General features: G+C 41.7%; 1 protein-coding gene across 25 annotated transcripts in view; it reads right to left on the bottom strand.

The window, feature by feature from the left end:
- Window positions 1-19,767, bottom strand: part of KMT5B (lysine methyltransferase 5B) — a 58,786-nt gene that overhangs the window by 30,339 nt on the left and 8,680 nt on the right. For 19 of the 25 annotated variants that reach the window (NR_161379.1, NR_161378.1, NR_161380.1 and 16 more), the window contains exons 2-3: window positions 4,716-4,951; window positions 580-727 (exon numbers count right to left, since the gene is read on the bottom strand). Coding sequence is in view for 13 of the 25 variants with exons in the window: in XM_005274036.5 (XP_005274093.2) it covers window positions 580-727; window positions 4,716-4,875 (308 nt within the window). In the remaining 12 variants the exon portion in view is untranslated. The remainder of the gene's footprint in view (window positions 1-579; window positions 728-4,715; window positions 4,952-19,767) is intronic. The other 6 variants (XM_047427072.1, NM_001369430.1, XM_011545092.4 and 3 more) reach the window with 3 other exon arrangements.

Here is a 19,767-nt window from a genome sequence, read left to right on the forward strand (position 1 = left end):
TGTCATCACCTTTTTTTTTTTGAGATGGAGTTTCGCTCTTGTTGCCCAGACTGGAGTGCAATGGCACGATCTCGGCTCACTGCAACCTCCGCCTCCCGGGTTCAAGTGATTCTCCTGCCTCAGCCTCCCAAGTAGCTGGGATTACAGGCATGTGCCACCTGCCTGGCTAATTTTTTTTGTACTTTTAGTAGAGACAGGGTTTCACCATGTTGGTCAGGCTGGTCTCAAACTCCTGACCTCAGGTGATCCACCCACCTTGGCCTCCCAAAGTGTGGGGATTACAGGCGTGAGCCACCATGCCTGGCATCATCAACTTTTAAAATAGAACATGAGGATGCTCCTCCAGCTTTATACGTTAATAGAAATGTTCTGAGGTAAAATAAGAACACAGAGTTAGAACTGACAAGATTCCTGGAGTCTTTTCTCTGCTTCTCTTGGCTCACAGACAGAAAACCCTTCCACTGCAAAGAACTTTCCTTTAATGTCATTTTAAATTTTGAGCAAAAGTAAAATTAGCCATCTATGTTCTTGAATTCAACATAATCATCTGTTCCATTCAGGATAAAGACTGAAAATTACCTAGTATTCATTTTGTGTGTTTGAAAACCTAAATAGGGATCAAGAACCAAACTGGTTGCTAGGTCATCATTTTCACAGAGTTCCTTGGCGGACATTCCAGAGGATGGTACATAGCGACTCTGTCCTTCAAATCCCGAGTTACCATTACCTGTGAAAAGCAAAAGCAAGAAAAATTACTCAAATTGAAAACTACTTAAATCTGCCTTAAAATCTTTAGCGGCATTGCCCATTCAAGCTGGTAATAAAGAACTGAAAAATCAATCATTTTAGTAATTAAGAATTTAATAACCTTTGCATAAGACAGAAAACCAAATGCAGTAAACTATCTCCATTACTGAGAGTATTATCGTTAGCAGGTAGTAATAGCAGGTTCCCAAGAATGGGGTCTGGGTAGTCGTGAGAATTTGGTTCAAATGCTTGACTCTCCCCCACCCCCTTCTCTCCAAGGAACACTGAGAAACGGGACGGGAGCATGTTCACTATTTTAACAAGACAATACACAGGGCCATTACAGATAGGACTCGACTGAAAAGGAAAGAGGAACACAAGATAGTTTCTGCAAGAAGCGCCAGAACTCCAGATCTCAAGTATCAAAAGGAATCTCATGAAGTTCAGCTTCCTGCTTTAGGGCAGGTGAATGATTATTATCCCCACTTTGCAGGCAACTGAGGCCCAGACAAAAAGAAACTTGCCCACAATTCCAGAGCTGGGCAGTAGAAGTGGGGAAAGAAGTGGAGAGAGAATGACAGACCTATTTCTACTGACCTCTGTTTGAAGCAATTATGAACGAATGGATAAAAATACAGACTGAAATATATAACTGAAATAACTGGGTTTAACTGTGGAAGAAAAGCAATGTAAAGAAGGAAATGAAGGCCAAGTTTGTAAGAAGTTTCATCAGAGCTGATTAAGTTTGATGTATATGCCACTGACAGTCCTTCCATGGAATCAGCACATCATTTATGGAGGACAACAGCAATGTAACTTTCAGGCTCTCAAAACCAAAATGGGGAAGAATGAAACACAGAGTAAAGTTTAACCTTTTCATCCACTCTTTCACAGAACAAATACTTAAATGTAAGTTCCTGCCAAGGGTAGACATATGATTTTGCAATCAAATTAGTTGCATGTAGGTATGTGAAAAGCTATCAACATTGTTAAATTTTTGGTAACAGCATAATAGCTTTATTGAAATACAATTCACATACGACACAACTCACTTTTTTTTTTTTTGAAGACAGGGTCTTGCTTTGCCACCCAGCCTGGAGTGCAGTGGCATGATCACAGCTCACCGCAGCCTCGAATTCCTGGGCTCAAGGAATCATCCTGCCTCAGCCTCCCTAGTAGCTGGGACCACAGGCATGCATCATCAAACCTGGTTAATTTTTGTATTTTTTTGTAAAAGTGGGGTCTCGCCATATTGTCCAGGCTGGTCTTGAACTCCTGAGCTCAAGCCATCCTCCTGCCTCAGCCTCCCAAACTGCTGGGATTACAGGCGTGAGCCACCACGCCCAGTCTTCTTTTTTTCACGCAGGCATTTACAAGTATAAATTTCCCTCTAAACCACCGCTTTGGCTGCATCCTGTAAGTTTTAGTATGTTTTATCTTTCTTTTAATTCACTTCAAAATGTTTTCTGATTTCCTTTTTGATTTCTTCTTTGACCCACTGATTATTTAGAAGTGTGTTATTTCATTTCTATGTATTTGTGAAATTCCCAAATTTCCTTGTTAATTTCTAATTTTCCTCCATTGGGGTCACAGAACATACCTTTTATGATTTCAATCCTTTGAAGTTTATGGAAGCTTGTTATACGGTCTAGCATATGTTCTATCCTGGAATGCTGCACTTGCACTTGAGATGAATGCGTATTCTGATGAGGTTCTATAGATGTCTGTTAGGCCTCATTGGTTTATAGTCTTAAGCTGTTCTATCCATTATTAAAAGTGGCGTATCAAAGTCTCCAAATTATTGCTGAATTGTTGATTTTTCCCTTCAATTTTGTCAGTTTTTCTTTCCTGTATCTTAAGGCTCTGCTGCTGGGAAAGTCACTGATTGTATCTGAGATGGGGCACTGCTCTGTGCTCTCCCATTTCTCATTGCTGGCTCTCTTTCTGCACCATTCTGGCCCAATAACATTCAATGTAAGGCTATGTCATCTTCACACACTGGGTTTTCCCAACCTAGCCCTCTATATTTATCTATGCTTGGTAAAGTGTAACCAAAGTAATGGCCATTTTCCTTTTTCTTTTTTTTTTTTTTTTGAGATGGAGTCTCGCTCTGTCGCCCAGGCTGGAGTGCAGTGACGCAATCTCGGCTCACTGCAAGCTCTGCCTCCCGGGTTCACACCATTCTCCCGCCTCAGCCTCACGAGTAGTTGGGACTACAGGCACCTGCCACCACGCCCAGCTGATTTTTTGTATTTTTAGTAGAGGCGGGGTTTGACCGTATTAGCCAGGATGGTCTCGATCTCCTGACCTCATGATCCACCCACCTCAGCCTCCCAAAGTGCTGGGATTACAGGCGTGAGCCACCACGCCCGGCCCGTAATGGCCATTTCTAAACTCTTTTTTTTTTTCTTTAAACAAGAGTCTCATTTTTTTTTGCCCATGCTGGAGTGCAGTGGTGTGATCTCGGCTCACTGCAACCTCTAACTCCTGGGCTCAAGTGATCTTTCCAACCACAGCCTCTCAAAGTAGTTGGAACCATAGACATGCAACACCATGATTGGCTAATTTTTTTGTAGACACGGTAGTTTTTGTAGACACAGGGTTTCACCATGTTGCCCAGGCTGGTCTCAAACTCCTGGACTTAAGCAGATCCATTCGCCTTGGACTCCCAAAGTGCCGGGACTACAGGTGTGAGCTACCACGCCCAGACGCATTTTCTAAATTCTTGTGTATCTATAATAATTCAACTAATTAAAACTGTTTTGCACTATGATACACAAAAGGAGGCCAACAGTGATTTCCTAAAAAACTTAAGATATGCCTAGTTTGCTGACCAGAATGAATACACACTGATGTGATCACTATATTTCTCAATTCTTCACGTTCACACTAGCTGCTAAGGAGTGAGGCAGGATGAGGGTACATGCTGCCAGCAGCCTCAGGAGTGAGTGGTGTCCATGCAGAGGACCACTCATTCAGTCTTGCCTCTTCCTACTCTTGTCCCAAGCAGGAATTCTGTCTGGTTTTCTATAGCAACAGTGACCTGATCTGAAATGGAAAGGTTAAGGGTAGCCTGGGCCCAATGAATCGCATAAACCCTAAAAGGTAAGAAGGAAATCTATCAGAACTTGTACAATCTGAAACTACAGAAAATCCCAGGCTAATCCAAATCCCTGGAAACAGGCCAATGCCAATCTGAATTAAGGATATTCAAAGGTGGCTAGATTCACGTTAGAAAAAGAAGAAAAGCTGTCCTCTTTAACATGACATACGTTTGGACATATAGCTGCCTAGTTAGGTATACACTTGTCCTCAGTCATTTTACTACTTTTAGAGGAACTATGAAATACGCACCAAATCTACAACTTCCTGAACTCTCAAAAAGCAGCCTCTTTCCTATCAAGAGGTATAGAGGAAATAAAGTAACTTATCAGCAGTGTTTCACTGTCAGGATGAACAACTGTCTACCCTGTATAAATAGAATAAATTGCTATGATTTGTGAGGCTGCCCTAAAGCAGTCAGTTCTATCTATCCTCATTCTACTTATGTAAATTACAGTTGGCGTCATTATTCATATTATTCCATGAAACATTTGTGGAAATTAGCAAAGAAGTACATACCTATACTTACATCTATTAAAAAAATACAGGTTAACCTGTAAGAAGTTCAATTAAAATTTTAAAAATTTAGTAAGACATATCAACCATTCAGGTAAATTCTACAAAATATAAAGTAACAGACAGAAAAGCATGATTAAAATAATTATATGAAGCATTAAACTTGAGTTTTATATAGTTTGATGAGAATAAAAATTGACACAACTTTGAGAGTAAAAAGACTATATTGTTAATTATGAAAATGCAAAAAATTATTTAAGACAAAAGAAAACAGAATACACATTACAAACTGGAAAGAATTACTACCCCATATCACAATCAGAACATTGAAGGTTTAAGTGTGTACATACATCTGTTCGACCTCCTCTCGACTGCATTTTTGCCAGCCTTCAGGGTGTCCTTCCCCGTGTGCTGTAATTTTGATTGATTCTGCTGATGGTCATTAGACAACTTGCCTCCATTTCTCCTGCCATTCACCACCATGTTCTTGGATTCTCCCAACCACTTCATACCCACAGACAGCCTGACCCAGGTGCATTTAGTCACTCTCTTCAAATAGCTTAGAGAATACTTTCAATGTTCTCTCCTAACAGAAACAAAATATGAAAAACAAAACAAAATGGGGAGATAAATACATGAAAGATCATGCTAAACAGACCCTTGAGAAAGATATATAATATTAAAAGGACAGTCATTCACAGTATAATGATGTTTTGGTCAATGACAGACCACATAAACAACGGTGGTTCCATAAGATTATAACAGAGCTGGACATACACTTCATAAAATTCGTATTGCCTAGTATTTACTATATTATACTTTTTACTGTTATTTTAGAGTATATTCCTTCTACTTTTTTTTAAGTTAACTATAAAACAGCCCCAGGCAGGTTATTCAAGAGATATTCCAGAGGAAGGCACTGTTATCACAGGAGATGACAGCTCCATGCATGCTACTGCCCCTGAAGACGCTCCAGTGGGACAAGATGCAGAGGGAGAAGACAGTGATATGGATAATCCCGACCCTGTGTGGGCTGAAGCTAATGTTTGTGACCTGTGTCTCAGTTTTTAATAAAAAAGTTAAAAAAATAAAAGTAGGAAAAGGTTATAGAATAAAGATATTTTAAAAAGAATATAGCTGAGCACAGTGGCTCATGCCTGTAATCCCAGCACTTTGGGGGGCCATGGCAGGCGGACTGCTTGAGCCCAGAAGTTGAGACCAGCCTGGGCAACATGGCAAGACCCTGCCTCTACAGAAAATAAAAAAGTGAGCCAGGCATAGTGGCATGAGCCTGTGGTTCCAGCTACTTGAGAGGCTGAGATGGGAGGTCAAGCCTGCAGTGAAGCTATGATTGCAACACTGTACTCCAGCCTGGGTGACAGAGCAACCCTGTCTTCCAAAAAAGAAAAGAAAATAATAATATATTTTTGTGTCTTTTTGTCTGTGTTTTGAGACAGTCTCACTCTATGGCCCAGGCTGGAGTGCAGTGGTGTGATTATGGCTCACTGCAACCTCAAATTCCAGGGCTCAACCAATCCTCCCACTCAGCCTCCCAAGTAGCTGGGACTAGAGGCAGGAGCCACCACATCCAGTTAATTTTAAAACTTTGTGTGTGTGTGTGTGTGTGTGTGTGTGTGTGTGTAGAGACGAGGTCTCACTATGTTGCCCAGACTGGTCTCAAACTCCTGGCCTCAAGCAATCCCTCCACCTTGGCCTCCAAAAGTGCTGGGATTACAGGCATGAGCCACTGTGCCTGGCTAAGAAAGAATATACATTCATTTATTTGAGACAGGGCCTTGCTCTGTCGCCCCGGCTAGAGTGCAGTGGTGCCATCTCTTCTCATTGCAACCTCCACCTCCCAGGTTCAAATGATTCTCCTGCCTCAGTCTCCTGAGTAGGTGGGATTACAGGCGTGCACCACCACACCCAGCTAATTTTTGTATTTTTAGTAGAGACAGGGTTTTACCATGTTGGCTAGGCTGGTCTCGAACTCCCAACCTCAAGTGATCCACCTGCCTTGGCCTCCGAAAGTGCTGGGATTATAGGCGTGAGCCACTGTATGTGGCCAGAATGTATTTTTGTATAGCTATATGTGTTTGTATTTTAAGCCAAGTATTACCATAAAAGAGTCAAAAAGTTTTTAGAAAAAAAAACTTTATAAAGTAAAACAGTTACAAGCTAAGGTTAATTATTGAAGAAACATTTCAAAATAAATTTAGCGTAGCCTAAGTGTACGGTGTTAATAAAGTCTACAATAGTATACATGTACTAGGTCTACGCAATTACTCACCACTCACTCACTGACTCATCCAGAGCAACTTCAAATCCTGCAAGTTCCATTCATGGGAAGTGCCCTTCACAGGTGTACCATTTTAAAATCTTTTATTCTGTATTTTTACTGTATCTTTATGTTTATATATGTTTAGATAACAAATAATATTGTGTTACCAGTGACTACAGTAGTCAGTACAGTAACAAGCTGTACAGGTTAGTGGCCTAGGAGCAATGGCCCAGGTGTGTAGTAGGCTAGACTACCTAGGTTTGTGTAAGTACACTCTATGACAACTGCATGACAACAAAACCACCTAACCTCACATTTCTAGAATGTGTCCGAGACACACTCTATGAGTGCACTCTATGATATCTGCACGATAACAAAATCACCTAAACTCACATTTCTCAGAATGTGTGGTATCCCTGTCATTAAGCAATGCATGACTATACTTTAATAACTGATGTCTCCACTCTTTAAAGACAATCTTGGCTCTCCCCAATCATATGATGCCTGCTCAGGAATACAGTGCCCCCAGACTGGCCAGAATGTAAACTACAGAAGGCAGGGACTCATTCTGACTTGTTCCTTGCTTGTGTTTAGAACAGTACTGACAAACAGCAGGTGCTCAACAAATATTTCTCTCAGTAAACAGTAAGAACCATCTTTGCTCCTTGTTATACTGATATCTAGTAGAGCTTTCTCATCTATCTGCTCAAACTACATGTTTTGGTAATGCTCTGAACTGGGTGAGTAAACTACAAGGAAGTTATTTATCTCTTTGTTCCAAGGCAAGCTTAGGAAAAGGCATCTATACTAAGCTTTGTCCATCACAGTAAGAGACTCCTAACTGTTGTGCTGGCTACTCATCACCACAAACAAAATTTAGCAGAGGGACAAGAGTAAGGAAAGTAAAGGACTTCATATCTCTTTGTTGTTGTTAGTTTCAATTCACTGTTCTAGATATTTAAGAAACCAATATTCAGATATCAAAGTAGTGCCCATCTGGAAATGTCTACCTTATCATTCCTTCACAATGGCAACAAAACTGAGAAGCTACTGTATTCGGTAATGTAAATGTATCTCTTACTATCTGAATTTGGGAACCGATTGATCTGAATAGTGGGGGATGCTTGTAATTTATAATGACCTTTGGAAATGAGGATATTATACATCACACTCACTACTAATGGAATGAGAAAAAGGATGTCCATGATACCACCTCATTATCGAATTATGCATTAGTACAAGTCAGACTAAAAAGGCCCTACGATAAAGGGCAAAAATACAGAACTTCAGAGCCAAAGATGCCTTAAGATCATCAGTGCAACTCCTTCAATTTGCAAATGAAACTGAGGCCACATGCCTAAAACCACATGATCCACCTGCAGCAGTCTCACGAGTAGAACCCAGCACTGCTGCCCAACAAATTCTCAACTACACCAGACGCAGGTCAATTTCCTTTCCACAAACACATAGAAAAGTACAAATGATAAATTACTTCGAAGTATTCACAAAAATACATGCCTGGACATACCTTTAATGATACTCAACACAAACACAAAACATGAATTTTTACTTGATCTCAGGTCTCTTTCATGTTACAGGAGTATCTGTGTGAGTTCACTGGAGGGTAAGATGTGCATGTGAGCAGTATGCTTAGGGGAATGGCAAAAAAAAAAAATCTGATCAATGCTAAAGACAACTTTACAATTGTTTTCTAACATGAATTTTTTTTCTGGTTCCCTTACTATTTAAATTCGATTATAGTATTTAACTTTTAACGTGCCTTTTGATTTTTCTCATAGGTTTCACTAAACAGTCTTCTATCTATTCTACATCAGTTATAAGCTAAGGATTTTTCAATTATTAAATTTTACCAAATTTAACATTAAAACCTCTCATTAATGATCATATATCTTACACTTAGGAGAAAAGGCATAGAATTGAACAGCAGTATACTTTTTTTTTTTTTTTTAAGAGACAGGGTCTTGCTCTGTCACCCAGGTTGGAGTGCAGTGGTGTGATGATGGCTCACTGTGGCCTCAAAGTCCTAGGCTCAAGCAATCCTCCACCTCAGCCTCCCAAAGTGTTAGGATTACCAGCATGAGCCACCACACTCAGTAAGAGCAGTGTACTTTTGAGGTATAAAGTACAAAGAAAGCTTGAGAAAAAGAGCAATGGGTGGTCCATTGGGAGCCTTGGATCTTGGATCCCCAGCAGTTTTGCCTATGGACTCTAAAATGGACTTCATTTAAAGAAACCCATGGAACAGTAATAGATAAAAACATAAAACAATATGAATTGTGGCATTCAAATCCTAGCACTTCGGGAGAGCATCAAGTACCAAGTTTTTTTTTTTTTTTTTTTGAGACAGAGTATCGCTCCCTCACCCAGGCTGGAGTGCAGTGTCCACGATCTTGGCTCACTGCAACCTCCACCTCCCAGGTTCAAGCTATTCTCATGCCTCAGCCTCCTAAGTAGCTGGAATTACAGGTGTGCACCACCATGCCCGCCTAATTTTTGTATTTTTTAGTAGAGACAGAGTTTCACCATGTTGGCCAGGCTAGTCTTGAACTCCTGGCCACAAGCGATCCTCCCACCTCGGCCTCCCAAAGTGCTACGATTACAGGCATGAGCCATTGTGCCCGGCCAAGTGTTCAAAAATTATAGCCTACTATCACAATGCATTGAAGATTTGAATTTCAATAACCTCGTCAAGACTTAGATCTTTAAAAGCTTCAAGGTTCATCTGCATTAAAGCTCTCCATCATTGAGCCATCTCACAAAAGTAAAAGCTTAAAGGGACTAAAATCCGTGACTACATTCCATTTTATATCCCTTCCTCAGTTTTCTTCAATTTCCTTGACCCCTAGGGTCTTTCATATTACTTATGTTCCTTTAAGACAAGAGCCAAAGAAACAGCACTTTCTGAAAAACAGATGTTCTGTGGCTATAAGCTTTCATTGGTACAGATGCATAAACTTGGCATGATAAATTTAGAATTAGGTTTTTTGTTGTATCCTATAAAAAGCTGCATTAACAACAAGCAAATGGGCCAGGTGGTGGCTTATGCCTATAATCCTAGCCCTCTGGGAGACCAAGGCAAGAGGACTGCTTGAGGCCAGGAGTTCGAGACCAGCCTGGGCAACACGGCAAGACCTCATTGCTACTAAAAATAAAAATTAAAAAATTAGCCAAGGATGGTGGTATGCACCTGTAGTTACACTCAGGAGGCTGAAGTGGGAGGATGGCTGCAGCCCAGGAAATTGCGGACACAGTGAGCCATGACCATGCCATTACACTGCAGCCTGGGTGACAGAGTGAAAAAAAAGAAAATGATGAAGTGGTAAATTTATATAAATGTATTTTATATTTCAAGTTAGATTATACTCTCAGAAGCTATGTGGTTTACAGAAAATAGCCCTCTCCTATCCCACCTCTGTCTCTTACTAGGCAGTTGGTAACCAACAAAGTCACTTAACCTCTCTGAACCTTAACTTCCATTATCCAGAAAGTGAAGCTGATCATATTTTCCCCATCCACCTCACAGGGCTGTTGTGAGGATCACATGAAATAATGTACCTAAAAAAGTTGTTTCTATAAAAGGTACAACACAGATAGATCCAGGGTCCTGTTACATAGTTGCAAGTCACACTCTTATCTCCAGGGCCTGGGAAGGTAGGTGATTTAAGCACACAGAAAGCACCTACCATGTCCAGGGCACATACATGGTAACAAGATTATGTTATTTTCCTCTGAATACACAGAATACTACCATGGGCTAATTCTAAGGAGCAAGACTGTAACTTTCCCTAAAATTATAGCTCAGCATTCATAGTGCTCTAGGGCAATTATGGGTTGTAACATATTAATGGTTTGCAACATTTTTTTTACTATGTTGTGACCAGTAATTTTTTTTAAATGAAAGAACACAGAGCAGAATATTTCACAATGCATCCCACATAGTAAGTTTTGTTTTAGTTATATATGTGTAAATGTGTGTATACTTGGTCATTAAATAAAATGAATTTTTGGCCAGGTGTGGTGGCTCATGCCTGTAATCCCAACACTTTGGGAGGCCCAGGTGGGCAGATCACTTGAATCCAGGAGTTTGAGACCAGCCTCGCCAACATGGTGAAACCCCGTCTCTACCAAAAATACAAAAATTAGCTAGGTGTGGTGGTATGCGCCTGTAATCCCAGCTACTCAGGAGGCTGAAGCAGGAGGATCACTTGAGCCCAGGAGATGGAGGGTGAAGTGAGCCAAGACTGCACCACTGGACTCCAGCCTGAGTGACAGAGCAAGACCCTGTCTAAAATAAAATAAAATAAAATGCATTTTTTTCCTGGGGGTGTGGGGAAGGGCAATGCACCATGCCTTTCTCCTCTGTCTGCCTGGAATGTTATAACACCATCTCTTTGCCTAATTCCTTAAGTCCCAGTTCAGTGTTCACATCCTCTAGGAAGTGTTCCTTGACATTCACTGCCAAATCTAGTTATATACTTATGCTATAAAACTTAAGTGAAAGCCCTTATGTGACTATATTGTTTAAGTGTCTGCTTCCTTAATTGAGAGTTCCTAAGGTTGAGAATCTATTTTTCTTATCTCTGGCCCTTGTGTATCTAGTATAGCACACAGTACATCCTAGAGGCACTCAACTGATGAAATAAATAGGTTGTATTCTAAACTGCATCATAGAAACTATATTTCTGCATTAAAAAAAACTGTAAATTAAAGATACTTCCTGACCTCTTCAAATCCTCTCCTTTCTCAAAATGTCCATGGTGTGTAAGGGGGTGAGAGAAGCTCCTGCACAGACAGAAACAAGGCAGGAATCACAGCTGCTACCACCACTAACTTCCCTACTGCTTGCCATTATACTTTCTGGTTTACTCCCTAGTCCTTGACCCTCCAGAGAAAAAGAACCAGGACCAGGAAAAGTGCTTTTGGTCCTTTAGGAAATCATCTGTAGAATGCCTGTGTTTAACACACAACTTATGGATAATCATGGAACAATGTACTTTTAGGCTTCTCAGGAGTCCTAATATACCTCAAAAATAAGACATAAAGCATAATTATATGAAATAGAAATAAAATATATGGAATAGAAAGGTTATCCATGGAGAGTCTTTTTTTTTTTCTTTTTTTGAGACGGAGTCTCGCACTGTCCCCAAGTTAGAGTGCAGTGGCCCAAACTCGGCTCACTACAACCTCTGCTTCCTGGGTTCAAGCGATTCTCCTGACTCAGCCTCCCGAGTAGCTAGGACTACAGGTGCGCACCACCACACCTGGCTAATTTTTTTTTGCTATTTTAGTAGACACGGGGTTTCACCATGTTGGCCAGGATAGTCTCGATCTCCTGACCTCATGATCTGCCTGTCTCGGCCTCCCAAAGTGCTGGAATTACAGGCGTGAGCCACCACGCCCGGCCATGGAAAGTCTTTAAGTCCCAACCAAGATGTCTACTTGAGAGAAAGCAGAAAATTTGGGGATGAGGCCCAGCAATCTGTGTTGTAGTAAGACCTCCAGGTGATGCAAGCTCCAGTGTAAGAGCAATCGCTCTAATTTACTTATTCATTTTATCATGTTAGGGCAAAGAATAGATACAAAATTTTAAGAAAAATTATGGAATAAAAAATTAAGGAAATTATAATATCAACCAAACATTTTTCTGAGAATTAGGAAAATTCACCAACAAATCACTTTAGTAATAGCAAACTTTGGTTCAATTCATGGAACACAGACTGAGATCCACTCTAATGTGCACATAATTTAAATTAAATGTGGGTTAATGATCCAAACTGGAAAAAATCTGTGCCCTCAGATCTCATTTATATTGTGATCAACTGATATTATTTGAACTCAAGGTAATTTAATCTAACAGGTACTTCTGTCAATCACAGAACATGGCTAAATTTCACTAGTATGAATGCACTGCACATGTCTGGATGTAGCCTAGCAGAGAGAGATTCTCCACAGGTCCATATGATAAAAGCTATCAAAAGATCTTTCTTAAACTGATAAATGAAACATTTGTAAAAACAATTCTAATGAAGCTATCAATAATTTGGGGGCTATTTAAAAAAATTTTCAGCTCAAAATGAATATATATTGTACTAATGATCAGGTCATCATTTGTTCTGCCCTCCTAAGTGTGGAATCTGTTCTTGCTGGCATGATCTTTCCTCTAAGACCACACGTTTACACATTAAAGGTAGCGATGGGATTTTAAAAAGCTAACACAAGTCGATACTGTAGTAGAGTATAGACAAATAGGGGTTGAAAACATCCCAGCACTTTGGGAGGCCAAGGCGGGCAGATCACCTGAGGTCAGGAGTTCGAGACCAGCCTGGACAACAAGGTGAAACCCCATCCCTGCTAAAAATACAAAAATTAGCCAGGCGTGGTGTCACATGCCTGTAATCCCAGCTACTTGGGAGGCTGAGGCAGGAGAATAGCTTCAACCCAGGAGGCAGAGGTTGCACTGAGCCAAGATTGTGCCACTGCACTCCATCCAGCCTGGGCGACACAGCAAGACTGTGAAAAGAAAAGAAGAGAAAAGAAGAGGAAAGAAGATGAAGGAAAGGAAAGGAAAAAAGACAAGACAAGACAAGACAAGACAAGACAAGACAAGACAAGACAAGACAAGACAAGACAGGGCGGCTAGCAAAGCCTAAATGCTTCATAGCTACCACAGAGGTGCCCCCTCCCAACAAACACACAAGGGTGCAGACTCCCATGGGACATAGCTGGCTCACGTGGAAATGTCCCCATGGTCACGGTTTGGCTGACACACTCTGAGCTAATTAGCCACTGACTACATTTAGAAGTAAAAATTGCCTCAATTTTGTCCCAAATTGTTAGGAAAAACATTTCAAGAAAGTACTGACTGCTTCTTTTTTTTTTGAGACGGAGTCTCGCTCTGTTGCCCAGGCTGGAGTGCAGTGGCACGATCTTGGCTCACTGCAACCTCCGCTTCCCGGGTTCAAGCCATTCTCCTGCCTCAACCTCCTGAGTAGCTGGAACTGCAGATGCACGCCATCACACCCGGCTGATTTTTTGTATTTCTAGTAAAGATGGGGTTTCACCGTGTTAGCCAGGCTGGTCTCAATCTCCTGACCTTGTGATCTGCCCGCCTTGGCCTCCCATAGTGCTGGGATTACAGGCGTGAGCCACCACGCCCGGCCATTACTGACCACTTCTTAAATGGTGTATTAGCTTGGTGCAAAAGTAATAAAGTAATTGCGTTGTTTTTTTTTTAGTTACAAATCCTGTTCTGATTTCCCAATATAAAAATGTCAGGAAAATTAGACATCCACTATATTCCAGACACTGTTGCAGGCACTGAGAATACAGCATGGAACAAAATAAGGCTTCTGCCCTCATCTGTGCTTATATTCTAATGGAAAAAAGCACTAGGAAATAATAAATTAACGAATGAATGTCGGCACCTTTTGGGGGGAATAAGCCATTTATGGTGGCAGGGAGTGTTTCAGGTGGAGAAGGAGGGTGATAGTGGCTGTTTTCTAAGACAGCAAGGGATGTGAAGGGACAGCCAGGCATCAGGCAAGAAGCATGCAGTAGACAAAGGGAAGGGCAAACACAAGGCCCAGAGGCTGGCGTGGCTGGGGCAAATATGGAGGAAGAGTGGGAGGATGAGGTCAGAGAGGCTGCCACAGGGAAGAAGGGCTTCAAAGCCACTGCTGAGACTTGGGCCTTTACTCCCAGTGAGAGGGAAAGCAGAGGAGTGACACGATCCAACCCACAGTTTTAAAGGACCATGCTGGCAGCTTGCTACATGGTACTTTAAAAAAGCAGTTCTAATGAAGCTACTAATAATTTCTAGGACAAGAGAATGCAGGGAGACGTTATTAGTAGTAGTAGTCTATTTACTAACTGACTACTGCTAGCCAGAGGAGAACTAGTGGCTGCAGCAGCAGAGGTGGCAAGAAGTGGTTGGCTTCGAGATCTTTTCTGAAGGTTCCGCTGATAGTCGGGAACTGCTGACAGATTGAATGCAGGTGTAGGAGAAAGAGGACTCAAAAATACCTGCAAATGAAGAATGGAATTAATATTTAGGGATGTGACAAAGACTATAGGAAGATTGGCTTCCGCAAGGACTGCGGTGTGGGAATTTGGTTTTGGTCATTTTTTCTTCCTTTTTGGGGGTCTTTTTTGGTTTTAGTCACTTTTGAGATGCCCACTACAGATCCAACTGGAGTTGGCAGCTGGATACCAGGGTCTGGAGTCCAGCTCCAAGCTGAAGATAAAAATCTGGTATTTTTATCTTCAAATAAAATCAAAGTATTAATGGCATTTCAAGCCATGGAATCAGATGAAATCTAGGACTCAGTGCAGATCAATGAAGTCCAAGGACTGGGTGTCGGGGGCACTTTAACATGTATAGGTCAAGAGGAGGAGAAGCAGCACAGGATCACAAAAGGAGCAACAAGTGAGAAGCAGAGCCAGGCATGACAGGGACCACTCTGTGGAGGGAGTTACCAACTCAGGCAAGGACTATAGGTGCCCAGTAAGCAAATACTTTTATTTTATGAGTCTAAACTCGTGGAAAGGATGGGCTATTGCTGATCTGTGAGCCTTGCTCAGAAACAACAGAGAACTTCTAAATGGACACAATGTCTTAAAACACGCACTTGTGAGGAAGACGGGGCTTTGCTTTAAGAAACAGATGGCAGAGGGCAATATCAGGAACGAGAGAGAGAGAGACTGACTCGCAGGCCAGAAAAGACAAATGTAAGTTAAAATTATGGAGTGGGAGGTGATGGGAATAGGTTAGTTAATTTGAGAAGGCAAGCCTTCAGAGCGCTTATAGGATCTGTGTTAAAAAAATTTTTTTAAACTAATAGATTGGTTAAATCTCTGGATGGGAGTAATACAGATGATCTGAGTAGGAAAACGAAGTGGAATTCCTGAGGACTACTGTGCAAGGCTTTGTGCCTTCTACTTTCGTGAGTATTCACAGAAATGATGCAATCAGGCTCTGAGAAAATGGAATTGGGATTCTGCTCCAAGATGGGCAGCATCACTTCCCCAAGGGATTTACCCAGCACTGAAATCAACAGGAAGAGTCACCTTATGTGGTTTCACTGGATCAACACATGGGAAAAGAAGCACTTACTACAGATTCTGGTACCAAACATAAATAAGGAGGTGGGGGGTGAGGGGACAATTTATGATCAAGATAAAACATACTGGAAAACTGCTAAAATAAGAAATGTATTTAAAGGGGAAAAGATTTCAAGAATGATTTCCAGTTGTATTTAAAGCGGAAACTCCTAATCATAACACGATGCCACTAAGGTGAGAAGCGCGACACCCACCACCACCAGCACCACCACAATGCATTCCAAATCACCAGTGCTACCGTTGCTGGGGGGAAGGATAACTTTCAAAAGTATTTTTTCCCCAAACGTTTACAGTGAACCTATTTACTTATAATCAGAAAAAAACTGAAAACCTTAATACTTTAACACATTTCAAAAGAAAGCAGCATTGATTCATAGAAAATGGGCTACGTTCACATAACCATGCCTGTTCTATGCCAGTGATGGCCCCTCAACAAATGTCAATGCCCTTCTCTTTCCAGGCTCTTTATGAGATTATAAATTGTTGAGTGACTTTTGAGAAATTGTGTCCAATTTGAGAACTCTGATTCCAATCCATTTTTACTTAAACACAGGCATTTTTTGCTTAATATCCTAAAAACAAACTAAGATTAAAAAAAAAATCTGTCAAAAAAGTTAAAACACTGATTCTGAATGACTAGAAAGAATGTTAACGTAATTCCTGTGACATTACCGAGAACCCTCTAGCCAGTTGACATGCTGAACTTGTCTGCAAACAGTTTATCTTAGAGAAATTATCCAGTGGCAGGGAAACAATCCCCAAGTGGTTGAAAAAGAAAAGTCAATACACATTTTTAAAAAGTAGGTTCTGGCTGGGTGTGGTGGCTCACGCCTGTAATCCCAACACTTAGGGAGGCCGAAGCAGGTGGATTCCTTGAGCCCAGGAGTTCAAGACCAGCCTGGGCAACATGGTCAGACCCCAGTCTCTACCAAAAAAAAAAAAAAAAAAAAATTAGTCGGGTGTGGTGGTGCGTGCTTGTAGTCCCAGGTACTCAGGAGGCTGAGGTGGGAGGATGGCTTGAGTCCAGGAGATTGCACCACTGCACTCTAGCCTAGGTGATAGAGCAAGACTCTGTCTCAAAGAAATAATAAAAAGCAGGTTCTAGCCTGTTAGAGGACTTTCATAAATCTTTATTTAGAAAGGCAAAGAAAACATTTTTCAAGTGATTTAGTTATAATTTGGTAAGAAAACAATCCAGTACACCACTGGTTAACAGTGAGTGAGATTACAATGGAGAATGACATCACAAGCAATATTTACCTGCTACATGTTCAACTTTTCAAAATAAACATCTGTGACTTTTGTAACAAAATATTAAAGATACTTACACAAAGGAAAGGGAAACAGCTTGGCAGCTTCCCACCACAGGGCCTTTGCACTTGGGGTGCCGCCACACTGCTCCTCAGTCCCTGCCCAACCCCACTTCTCCAGCTATATAGATTTCCTTGTTATACATTTTAACCCTTAACGTTTCTCAGCATGGTGCTTATTACAACCATACTCACTACTCTGTGTAATTATCTGGTAACACCTGCCTTCCCTACTAGCTAAGACACACTTTTTTTTTTTTTTTTTTTTGAGACAAACTCTCACTCTGTTGCCCAGGCTGGAGTGCAGTGGCTCAATCTCAGCTCACTGCAACCCCTGCCTCCCGGGTTCAAGCGATTCTCCTGCCTCAGCCTCCTGAGTAGCTGGGATTACAGGCGCGCACCACTATGCCCGGCTAATTTTTGTATTTTTAGTAGACACGGGGTTTCACCATGTTGGTTGGGCTGGTCTTGAACTCTTGACCTCGTGATTTGCCCACCTCGGCCTCCCAAAGTACTGGGATTACAGGCGTAAGCCACTGCACCTGGCTTTATTTCCATGTTTTGGCCGAATAATCCTGCTGTGAACGTGGGTGTACAAAATACCTGTTTGAGTACCCGCTTTAATTCTTTTGACGATATACCCAGAAGTAGAATTGCCGGGTCATATGGTAATTCTATGCTAAACTTTTTCTTTTTAGATGGAGTCTTGCTCTGTCACCCAGGCTGTAGTGCAGTGGCACGATCTCAGCTCACTGCAACCTCCGCCTCCTGGGTTCCAGGGATTCTCCTGCCTCAGCCTCCTGAGTAGCTGGGATTACAGGTGTGTGCCATCACACCCAGCTAATTTTTGTATTTTTAGGAGAGACGAGGTTTCACCATGTTGGTCAGGCTGGTCTCGAACTCCTGACCTCGTGATCTGCCTGCCTCGGCCTCCCAAAGTGCTGGGATTACAGGCGTGAGGCACCGCACCCGGCCCCATACACTTTCATATCATTAGAATCCAGCACAAGACCAGACATAGGTCCATTCATATCACCTTCCCTTTCTATTCTCAAACCAACTGCTACACATAAGCAGAATCGGTTTTTAGTTTTCTCCTAAATGTGAAATCACAAAAGGACTTGACATCAAAGAATTCCAAATCGGTCTTTATCAATGGCTATTCCAAAGCCGTCTGCAATCAATATTGCAATAACTAAGGCTCCACGGAATCCTATGGTATCAATCCCAGCGATGAGGCCAATAAAAGAAGCCCTGCAAAGCTATCAGAAGCATTTGTGACCAATATTCCATCATAACACCATTAACACTGCTTGACAGGGCAATTTCTCAGTTGCTAATTTGTTAGAAAACTACCACGAATTCACGTTCATACCTGTAACCTTAAAACTTGCTCCTATAAACATTGTTGTCTCACCTGAGAAGCTAGGTGACTTGTCAGAGTAGTTCAACGGGGTGTTAGTATTATGAAAAGAGAAAGGCCTCAGGGTTTTCATTTCCCTGAATTCACAATTATGCTTCTACCTAAGGCAGAGCCTTTACTTTAAAATTAGAGCTGTCACGCTAATTCAAATGGTAATCAGGTATCTAGAACCATCAACTCCATAGCAAAGAATACGTCTCTATACTCCTAAAATAATTACAAATGTCCATGATATTATCATTCCTACTTTCCTTCTCTAGCTTTCATAGGGTCAAGCTTGGATGCATTTTGCTTCACCCAATTCAACAGCTTTCCCAAGTACCCTCAGGTGGTAATGCCCTCACTCAGGCCACCAAGAGAATAGCGTCTGAAGCTGAGCAGTTTACCTACCACCAAGGTAGAATGCTTCACCCACTGCCCTTTCAGAATAAAACGATGGCCACAGACACCATCACTAAGTTTTGAAAAAGACTAAACTTGTTGAGCTAACAGCTCTAAAGCAGACTGTAGTATGGTGGAAAACGGCCCCCAAAGACATCGGCTCCTAATCTCTGGAGCCTGTGAATGCTACCTTATAAGGAAAATGGTCTTTGAAGATGTTATAAAAAATTTTGAGATAAAAGAGATTATCCTAGATTATCTGGGTAAGCCTTAAATGCCACTCAAATGACTTTATAAGAGGCAGAGGGAGATTTGACACCTCACAAAGTACAGAAGGTGAAGCAGACTGGAGTGATGTGGCCACAGGTGAGGGAATGCTGCAGCCCACCAGAGGCTGGAAGAAGCAAAGAGCAGCTTCCCTCCACAGCCCTGCCAACGCCTTGACTTTGGCCCAGTGAAACTGATGTTGAACTTCTGGCCTCGAAAACCGTGAGAGAATAAATTTCCGGTTTTTTTTTTTTTTTTTTTTTTTTGACACAGAGTCTCACATGTTGCCTAGGCTGGAGGCAGTGGTGCGATCTCAGCTCACTGTAACCTCCACCTCCCAGATTCCAGCAATTTCTCCTGCCTCAGCCTCCTGAGTAGCTGGGATTATAGGCACCTGCTGCCACGCCAGGCTAATTTTTGTATTTTTAGTAGAGATGGGGTTTCGCCATGTTGGCCAGGATGGTCTCGAACTCTTGACCTCAAGTGATCCGCCCACCTTGGCCTCCCAAAGTGCTGGGATTACAGGTGTGAGCCACCGTGCCCAGCCCATTTCTGTTGTTTTAAGCCGCTAAGTTTATGGAATTTGTTACAGTGACCAC

Source organism: Homo sapiens, chromosome 11 (assembly GCF_000001405.40).
Source record: "Homo sapiens chromosome 11, GRCh38.p14 Primary Assembly".
Lineage (NCBI taxonomy): Eukaryota > Metazoa > Chordata > Mammalia > Primates > Hominidae > Homo > Homo sapiens.